The sequence below is a fragment of the Homo sapiens genome, chromosome 10 (assembly GCF_000001405.40).
Source record: "Homo sapiens chromosome 10, GRCh38.p14 Primary Assembly".
NCBI classification, from domain to species: domain Eukaryota; kingdom Metazoa; phylum Chordata; class Mammalia; order Primates; family Hominidae; genus Homo; species Homo sapiens.
Genome location: NC_000010.11, coordinates 27,286,255 through 27,296,989, shown reverse-complemented (window position 1 = coordinate 27,296,989; position 10,735 = coordinate 27,286,255). Strand labels below are relative to the sequence as shown.

Here is a 10,735-nt window from a genome sequence, read left to right as displayed (position 1 = left end):
TCTGCCCGGCCGCCATCCCATCTAGGAAGTGAGGAGCACCTCTTCCCGGCCGTCATCACATCTAGGAAGTGAGGAGCGTCTCTGCCCGGCCGCCCATCGTCTGAGATGTGGGGAGCGCCTCTGCCCCACTGCCCCGTCTGGGATGTGAGGAGCGCCTCTGCCCGGCCACGACCCCGTCTGGGAGGTGAGGAGCGTCTCTGCCCGGCCGCCCCATCTGAGAAGTGAGGAGACCCTCTGCCTGGCAACCACCCCGTCTGAGAAGTGAGGAGCCCCTCCGCCCGGCAGCTGCCCCGTCTGAGAAGTGAGGAGCCTCTCCGCCCGGCAGCCACCCCATCTGGGAAGTGAGGAGCGTCTCCGCCTGGCCAGCCGCCCTGTCCGGGAGGGAGGTGGGGGGGTCAGCCCCCCGCCCGGCCACCCGCCCCATCCGGGAGGGAGGTGGGGGGGTCAGCCCCCCGCCCGGCCAGCCGCCCCGTCTGGGAGGTGAGGGGCACCTCTGCCCGGCCACCCCTACTGGGAAGTGAAGAGCCCCTCTGCCCAGCAAGACGCCCCGTCCGGGAGGGAGGTGGGGGGGTCAGCCCCCTGCCCGGCCAGCTGCCCCATCCGGGAGGGAGGTGGGGGGGTCAGCCCCCCACCCGGCCAGCCGCCCTGTCCAGGAGGGAGGTGGGGGGGTCAGCCCCCCGCCCGGCCAGCCGCCCCATCCGGGAGGTGAGGGGTGCCTCTGCCCGGCCGCCCCTACTGGGAAGTGAGGAGCCCCTCTGCCCGGCCAGCCGCCCTGTCCGGGAGGGAGGTGGGGGGTCAGCCCCCCGCCCGGCCAGCCGCCCCGTCCGGGAGGTGAGGGGCGCCTCTGCCCGGCCGCCCCTACTGGGAAGTGAGGAGCCCCTCTGCCCAGCCACCACCCCGTCTGGGAGGTGTGCCCAACAGCTCATTGAGAACGGGCCAGGATGACAATGGCGGCTTTGTGGAATAGAAAGGCAGGAAAGGTGGGGAAAAGATTGAGAAATCGGATGGTTGCCGTGTCTGTGTAGAAAGAAGTAGACATGGGAGACTTTTCATTTTGTTCTGCACTAAGAAAAATTCTTCTGCCTTGGGATCCTGTTGATCTGTGACCTTACCCCCAACCCTGTGCTCTCTGAAACAAGTGCTGTGTCCACTCAGGGTTAAATGGATTAAGGGCGGTGCAAGATGTGCTTTGTTAAACAGATGCTTGAAGGCAGCATGCTCGTTAAGAGTCATCACCACTCCCTAATCTCAAGTAATCAGGGACACAAACACTGCGGAAGGCCGCAGGGTCCTCTGCCTAGGAAAACCAGATACCTTTGTTCACTTGTTTATCTGCTGACCTTCCCTCCACTATTGTCCCATGACCCTGCCAAATCCCCCTCTGTGAGAAACACCCAAGAATTATCAATAAAAAAAAAATTAAAAAAAAAAAAAAAAAGAAAGCTCAACCCACATCAATGTAGCAACACATGTACTAACTTAAAGAATGTTTCTCAGGAACATGGTACTCATTTGCCTTTCTAACTACTGGAGTTGATTTGAGTGGATGAACAGGGACCATCGTTTTCCATTTTTGAAATACTCTTTTTAACAAGAATAACTCTGTGCCATCACGTTCTTTTCTATTTTTTTTTTAAGTAAAGACAGCAGAAGAGCACCGTCTAATATGGCCTTCCAAACATGAATACTGAGTTCCTTTATGGGAAGGGCTCCCTGTTGACTCTCACTCAAATGAAGAAATCCAAACAAGAGAAAGACAGGAAGATACAACAGTAGGTTCTGCAGGCCTCCTGGGTCCTGAATTTCTTGACAGTGGAACCAAACAACCAGGCAATGGGCAATAAAGATAGAAGCCTGGACTCAGTCCTGCAGCTGCCTTCTGTGTGTCCTGGAGCAAAGAATTTCTCAGCTTTTCCACCAATGAAACAAGGATCAAACTACCTGCCACTCCATACCCAAAACTCAAGTAATGGGAAAGGAATTGAATTAACTGTAATTGATTGCAAAGTACATCAAATTCCTACAACAAAAACTCACACAACTTCCAATTACCACTCGAAAGCACGCTTTAAGCCCAGGGGTGTGTGTGTGTGTGTGTGTGTGTGTGTATGTGTATGTATTTATGTGTGTGTGTGTGTTTAATCAGTTTACGTAAGATCATTAAGGAACTGAGCCCCACAAATGCAGTCTTTAACAAAGGGTTTCAAGTCTGAAAAATGTCCTTGCCAAGAATCCACCTCCAGAGAAGAAACCCAAAACCTACCAGGGAGAGAGCTCTGGGAGTCCCTTCTGAAGTTGGCAGCCCGGTGGCATTTCTGATGTGAATGTCTTTTAGATGCCACTCAGGAATAGAGTATTGACCACTGCTAAGCTGGGATCCACCAGGCATCTGGTGGCCTGAAAATTCTCAATTTATGGTTACAGAGCAGAAGCATGGCAAGCAATGTGGCTCATGTGAAAGGTGAAATCAACTCCAGTGTTTGATGAATTTGATGATATAGGACAAACAAATTAGGCTTATGCTACCCCTCACCAACCCATCGTGGGTCAGGGGTGAGGATGAATGTGTGGTAATGGCCATCCTTTCTACCAGTGTAAACCCGTTGTCACTGTCTTCTCATCCCTTCCCATTAGATTCACTTGGCACACCACCTGCTGCTGGATTCATCTTTCCAAATCAGTGCTTTCATCATCCCTTTCCCCACTCTCCCACCTGGACTCTGATCAAAATCCCAGGTACAGAAGCTGGCATCCCACAGGGAGGAGGTACACGTGGAGAAATGGCCCTGGGAATGAGCCCTAGAGGCCTCCATCATTGCAGCAAGTACTCAGGAATAAGACAGGCTGGATGAAGCATTTCAGAGTATGGGCAGATATCCAACTGTGCTTGCCAATGTAACCCTTCGTGAGCCTAGAGCTGGTGCCTGGATAATACGGGCATCTTACCCTCTAGTGACAGCTCTAGGAAATATCTTCAAGGGAAAGAAAGCATAATTCTAGGCCCAGCCTCTGAAATGCCTCTAAACTACCAAAAAGCTGACAACCAACCATGTTCTTGGCATTATTCTAGTCTTCTCAGTTTCTTCTTGGATTTACTGATCCTATAAGTGTTAAATACTATATCCACTCTACCTTCAATCCACATTGAAATGGATTTCTTTTTTGTTTTTTTGTTTGTTTGTTTGTTTTTGAGACGGAGTCTTGCTCTGTCGCCCAGGCTGGAGGGACGTGGCACCATCTCAGCTCACTGCAACCTCTGCCTCCTGGTTCAAGAGATTCCCCTTCCTCAGCCTCCCAAGTAGCTGGGACTACAGGTGCATGCCACCATTCCCAGTTAATTTTTTGTATTTTAGTAGAGACGGGGTTTCACCATGGTCTGGATGGTCTCAATCTCCTGACCTCGTGATCTGCCCGCCTTGGCCTCCCAAAGTGCTGGGATTACATGAAATGGATTTCAACATGTTTTTGACTTTGGGTCCAGAAATTCTTTTTCATTATAATGTGTATAAAATGCAAACCTACTTATAATTATGACCTTTCAACATTTTACCCCACTCTACTGCAGAATACCCATTTGTATGAATTTATAACATAGAGTACTTGTAACTAATATTTATTTCCACATTTCCAAACAAAGAAAATATCCTACATCCCTTCTCGTATTTCACAAAGGGGCTCTCCACATACCTTATTTAGAAATGAGCATGATTTCACTGAAGTTTTAGAGAGACTCATAGATTTAGTATGGAGCATAGAGACATTAACAAACCATCTCCTTTAATCGCTAGAAGTGATCAAAAGCAAGACATTTTCCTTGCAAGATTTTAAAACAATCTTGGCCAAGGGAGAAAATAATATCCATATAAAGTCAGCAAATACAGCAATCAACTAGTATGTCTACAAGAAAGACGGCAGGAAAAGGAAGAGAGAGGGATGCAAAAAAAGTAGGAAAGAAGTCAACAGCAGAAGGAAAGACAGGCTCAGAGGCAGGAAGAACTGCTTTCAGGGGGCTGAGAGTGAAGAACAGCAAAGCCCTGCCACTAAGGAACCTCGCTCTCTCCCCTTCGCACCATTAGGGCAGAGGTAGGGAGGCGAGCCTGTGCACATTAGCAAGATGCCCTGCGAGATACAGCAATAAATTTAATGTGATCTCTCTACTCAAGAAGTAGGTAGTAAGACAGACAACCTGAACCATCAGGATGGCAGAAGGCAGAACATAAGTGCTTATCAGTAAGGTAGCTGAAAAGGGGGTTCCTTGCTTCCTTTAGAATTAGGGTACAGCATCATCAGCTATGGGAGAGAGAAGAAGCTGGAAGGTTGGTGAGTAAAAATGTGATACATTCATTAATTTAAAAATTAAATTGTGTTCAAAAAATCCAGATGAAAAGAATATATACATATATAAAACTTGCAGGTTGAAATTAACATATGTCAAACCAAATAATTAAATACAAACTATTTTGATGTGCCAAGATATGAGCTCATAGCTCTGGACAATTAATAAGCTATAGTTCATTGACCTGTCTGGGTATTAATGAGCTCATTAAATCTCTTTTTTTTCCCCAACAATCACAGACATTACTTAGAAAATGGTAAATAGAAAGTCAGGTCAACATGAACATTTCTCTGCTAGCTTAAATCTACATTTAAATCATAATTTCATAAATTAAAATGTTAAGTGTATTTATTTTGAGATTGCCTAGAGACATTCAACTTTGCATTTCATAGACTTCTAGTATCATTTTATGTCTCCAGATAGAATATTTATCTGTGTCGAAAACCTTGAAATCATTTAAAGATATACTTTTCCTTTTATTGGCTACATGAAGAATATTTACCTGTGGGAACTATAAGAATTCCAAGCAATTTACTGTCTGGCCAAGAGTATCACATTTGCACATGATTTATTGATGAATAACTCGTGCAAATTTAAGTAGCACTTCATCAATAAATGTTTTTTTTAGCTGTACTGGGACAGAAATAGTGCATCTCTTTTTGGCCTAATGCTACCTGGACTTATCCTAAATAGTTGAAAAACTCAAGACAGTTATCCAGTAATTAGGCTATTATGAGAAACTCTCTTTGCCATGTTCACTGGGAGGGTATTATTGCGGCTGTTCACTCTCTCACTCTGTGCCTGCCCCATTAAATCCTAAGGGAGAAAATTCTTCCTGCTCTTAGCACCAGGATCAGTTATACTCACTGGCAACTGGTTTGTTTTTATTTTAAGACGTTGAGAGACTTTCCCTCCCTGTATTAACTCACTCTATTTCCCCCCTTTTATTGGTTGCTAGAGAACTGAAAGTAAAAGTTGAAGGCCACCTGCACGAGTCAGTTAAGTCTCCATGCCACACATTTGCTACAATAATAATAAGCAATAGCAATGATTATTATTGCCAACAGTTACTACTTTGTGCTAAGCACTTTACATGTGTTGTATTTCATTTAACATTCTTAATAATCCTAATATAAGAGAACTTTTATTTTTCCACCTTCACCAATGAGGAAACTGAAGCTTAGAGGGGTTAGTCAACTCATCCAAGGCTATTGAGTAAGTGGCAGAATTTCAACTCAACTGGTCTTTCCAACGTCAAAGATCGTGCTTCTAATTACTCTGGTATTCTGCTTCCTAGCCCATCTTTTGCTTCTGCCATTTTGACTCTGTTTCCTTTTGCTAATGAAATAAAGATAATGGACCAGGACTCCTGGGAAAAACTCAGGCCTCTCTTAATTCATCTTCTGAAAGGCTATGTCTTGGACGGGTGTAGAGGCTCATGCCTGCAATCCCAGCACTTTGGGAGCCAAGGTGGGAAGACTGCTTGAGGCCAGGAGTTCAGGATCAGCCTAGGAAAGAGAAAAGGAAAGAGGGGAGGGGAGGAGAGGGGAGGAGAGGGGAGGAGAGGGGAGGAGAGGAAAGGAGAGGAAAGGAGAGGAAGAAGGGCGGACCATGTCTAAGCCTCAGTCACCCTGTCTAGAGCTGCCCGCCTCAGAGAGAGAGTGGTGTTGGCAAAGTTCTCCACTGCCAGTTTTGTTTTTTTTTCCCCAGATGGCATGCTTTTTAGAAGTCCAGGAGAGGTAATTACAGGAGGCCCTGGGGTTCAGTAAAGATGCAGAGGCACTGTTGCAAGGTTGTCCTAAATGTCCCAAGGCTGGACATGGTCGCCATGTGTGCCAGGCGGGACCTCTGTGTTGAACTATGTGGTTTGTGCACAAATACTCCTGCCAAAGGGGAGTGCAGAAACGTGTGGCCTGAATCTAGCCTGTGCTCCATGCTAGTGTTTCCAAATTCCCGACAGGTTCATCTTCAAGATTCAGGAATATACAATCAAAATTCCTAGGAATTTTCATGAGTTCCCAAAATTATATTATTCTGTATTTTTCCTAACATTTAATTTACATGTCTTTAAATAATAATGAATGCCTGTAATAATAGTGAATCATTTCTATCATAATAAACAGTGAATCATTTTTTGTGGTAGAGTTATGCTAAAAATTTCAGAGGTTTTCTGTAAAAAAAAAAAACTTATGTAATAAATGCATGATTTATTATTATTATGAGCCAAAATATGTGACATAATTATATACTGCAACAACATGTAACAACAATGTGCACCTGATATAGGAATTTCATAATATGAAACACTAAATGAGGGAAACATTAACACAAAATAAATGCCAAATAAAAAACATTTTAAAAATTGACAGATGCCATAAAAATATTTAATATTTATGAAGTATCACGCTTAACATGAAATTTTAAAACTCACAAAATATTAACTGTTCTCTCCAGTAGTCTAGAGGTTTGTTTCATGACAAACAGTCCAGACCAAAAAACAATATTTTTCATTTTGCATTGATGTTGGTAAAATCATTAAGAGCCTGCCAAAAGGATCTCCAAGTTGAGCATTAGGGCTTGTTTTGTATAAGCTCATGTCCTTTCTGAAATACAAAATTTTATTTATTTTACTTTTTGAGATGGAGTTTTGCTCTTGTCACCCAGGCTGGAGTGCAATGGTGCGATCTTGGCTCACTGCAACCTCCGCCTCCTGGGTTCAAGCGATTCTCCTGCCTCAGCCTCCCAAGTAGCTGGGATTACAGGCGTCCACCACCACACTCGGCTAATTTTTTTGTATTTTTAGTAGAGACAGGGTTTCACCATGTTGGCCAGGCTAGTCTTGATCTCCTGACCTCAGATGATCCACCCACCTCGGCCTCCCTAAGTGCTGGGATTACAGGCGTGAGCCACCACGCCCAGCCAAAATACAAATTATTTTTAATTGACAAAGAATAATTGTGTATTTTTGTGGAGTACAATGTGATATTTTGATAAATGTTTACACTGCAATGATTGAATCAAGCAAAGCCACTGGCAAATGCCCTTGGTTGATTTGACCAAAGACATGGAAAAGCAGAAAGAAAACATGAGTTGAGTCAAATGCTTTTTCAAATACTCTGGACGTCGACTTTACACAAGGCCTAGATATCATCAATACTTGCTATCTGACATCAGAAATGAATATTAATCTGGGTTTTGGTGAGTCATTCCCCTTGCCCTCCTGCAAATTCAAGTACTTAAATACATTACGTGGCCAATTATTATGTAAAATATTCTCATATATGCTATCTGACTTGAGAGAAATGAAAATGAACCAATCCACATTATAAACACCCACAATGTCTCAGAAACCACGCTGTATGTTTCAAGTGTGTTTTCTTAAACTTTATAATAGTCCTGTAGTACAGGTATATTAATTTTATTCCAAGTGTTGAGAAAATTAGGGCTCAAAACTGTAACGTTTCAACAGCTACGTTGCTAGTAAGGGAAACAGCCTGGAGTTTAACCAAAGTCCGCTTTAAAAATCCATGTTATTTCTTCCATACCATACTACAAATCATAAAATGGCAGCAAGTCTCAGTGTCAGCTGTTTACCATGGGCACTCCCCAGCCAGGAGAGAGGGTTGGTACCAGGCAGCCTGGTTGCTCCATGAGGATGAATCTTGCATCCTCAGGGTAATAAGACCTTTCCCTGCACACACTTAGATAAAACAACAGGAATGCTTACTACTCTTATTTGAAAGAAACATAAACTTGGAATCAGCATATACATCCTTGGGAAAGTATTTTAAATGAACATTGCAAACATACTACCACAGGCCTTTCTTACCTTTAAATATTTCACCAGCTTCTGAATTTGCCAATATTCTGATGGCAAATCTGCACTTGCTTCCTGACGATGGTCAGGTGGTTCTTCATCTTCCTCACTTTCTGAGGAGCTATCGCTAACAGTTTCCTCAATCTTTTCAGCACTCTTCCTAAGAACAATAACAACACACATACACATGTAAGCTACAGTGTGGAGATGGTTATAATCATATTTTGGCAACATGGGCACAAGCAATGGATCAGATACCAACACCTTCTGAGTTCTAGTAGATCTCTGTTAAGATCTACATGAGGCCAGGTGCAGTGGTTCATGCCTATAATCTCAGTGCTTTGGGAGGCTGAGGTGGGAGGATCACTTGAGGCCAAGAGTTCAATGCTAGCCTGGACAACATAGCAAGACTCTGTCTCTACAAAAACAAATTTTAATTAGCCAGACATGGTGGTGCATGCCTGTAATCCCAGCTACTCAGGAGGCTTGACGCAGGAGGATCGCTTGAGCCCAGAAGTTTGAGCTGCAGTAAACCATTATTACATTATCATACCACTGCACTCCAGCCTGGAAGACAGAGTAAGACTCTCTCTCAAAAATAAAATAAAATAAAATAAAAAGGAACTGCGTGAGGTGAATAAACCTGTCTCTATTGCAGGTGCAATTGCTCTGGGTGCAATAATCATAATAAAGAAAACAGTGAGAAATAAACAAGGGTATTCAGTGAATGTCTTAAGGCTGCACTTTTCAATAAGACTGCCACTCATTGCATGTGGTCGTCTATAGTTACAGATATTTGAACTTATTTATTTAACTAAAATTAAAGAAAATTAAAAATCCAGTTCTCCAATCACACTAGCCACATTCAAGTGCTCAATGGCCCACGTGTCTCGTGGTTACCATACTGGACAGCTCAGATATTGACTATTTCTATTATTCCAGTAAGTTCAACTGGGCAGTGCCACAAGGCCCTAAAGTGAAAGAGTCTCTTTTACCAAAGAGAGTCAATATTCAGCACATCCCTCCATAATGCCTACACTGAAGTACTTGCAAGGGCACAAGGTGCCAAAGAACAGCAATAACATGAACATAATCAGGTTCAGGACCAAAGAGTTAGCCACCAACTCTGAGAGACATTACCATGCAAAGTGTTGAGTTCCACAGAAGTACACCACATTCTATGGTTTGATGCATGGACAACAGTATTACAAGAGCCTTCTGGAATCCAATATATGCCCTATGTCCCTGCAGAGGTCCCTCATGCACATGCACACTCATCACACCAACTTGTCTCCACCTCCCACTGCCGGATGCCAGGTTACTGCCATTGGGTCACCAAATCCACAGTGATGTCTCAGGAACTACTCATCCATCACTCACATGTGGAGAGGTGCTGAACCCAGGATATTTATCCTGATATTGTTTCCCACATATTCCTCATCTCACAGGACAGAAGCAAACTTTTAAATCTTCTAGCTATTTTTAATATTAAATAATACCAACAGCAGCCACCATTTTTGTGTAGGTTGGTCTATTTTGTCCTAGGTACTTTTTTTTTTTTTGTGAGATGGAGTCTCACTCTGTCGCCCTGGCTGGAGTGCACTGGCACAATCTTGGCTCACTGCAACCTCCGCCACCCGGGTTCAAGTGATTCTCCTGCCTCAGCCTCCTGAGTAGCTGGGCTTATAGGCATGCGCCACCACGTCTGGCTAATTTTTTTATTTTTAGTAGTGACGGGGTTTCACCATGTTGGTCAGGCTGGTCTCAAACTCTTGACCTCGTGATCCTCCCGTCTCGGCCTCCCAAAGTGCTGGTATTACAGGTATGAGCCACTGCGCCCGGCCTGTCCCAGGCACTTTATATTTATTATTTCTAAACCTCACAACCACTTTGCAAAGCAGGCTCTATCATCCACATTCTACAAGCAAGGAAACCTCAGAGAAATTAAGAGGAGAAAAAAAACCATTCACATTGAAGGATCCAAAATTACTTAAAATGTGGCCCTTGCCAATCACATATTAAGGTGTCCTTAAATATCAAAGTCATAAAGTCAATGACCATTATAGATCACACAAGTCCACAATACTTTTCCTCTAATTCTGAAATTGAAAAATCTCTGAAAACTGATTTTTTTCCCCACTGGACTTAACTTGTTGCTAAAGACTTATATGAATTGATACTAGACTATTTATGGTCTTTATTCCTCTCATTCAGTGTGAATATTCATGTTTCACTACAGAAATGCTCATGTTTTTGATTATAGGGTATTGGCTCACACTCCAATAGAGGTTATCATATAATATATATTATATGAATTTCATTACCCTTTTTTAAAGTGAGTTTTTCAGAACCGCATGCATTTGGCCACGAGAGTTCAGGACAACAGACTGTGGGTTAAATGTCTCATTTTAATTCACTCAACAATCTATGAGGTTGTTATTACTCTCATTATAGAGACAATGAGTTAAAAATAATTTGGGCCGGGTGTGGTGGGCTCACACCTGTAATCCCAGCACTTTGGGAGGCCGAGGTGAGTGGATTGCTTGAGGTTGGGAGTTTGAGACCAGCCTAGCCAACATGGT

The 10,735-nt window shown here is 43.6% G+C and overlaps 1 pseudogene across 1 annotated transcript in view; it reads right to left on the bottom strand.

Moving 5' to 3' along the window:
* Window positions 1–10,735, bottom strand: part of ODAD2P1 (outer dynein arm docking complex subunit 2 pseudogene 1) — a 76,294-nt pseudogene that overhangs the window by 38,066 nt on the left and 27,493 nt on the right. Inside the window, exon 4 of the transcript NR_138082.1 lies at window positions 8,166–8,313. The product of NR_138082.1 is annotated as an outer dynein arm docking complex subunit 2 pseudogene 1 (transcript). The remainder of the gene's footprint in view (window positions 1–8,165; window positions 8,314–10,735) is intronic.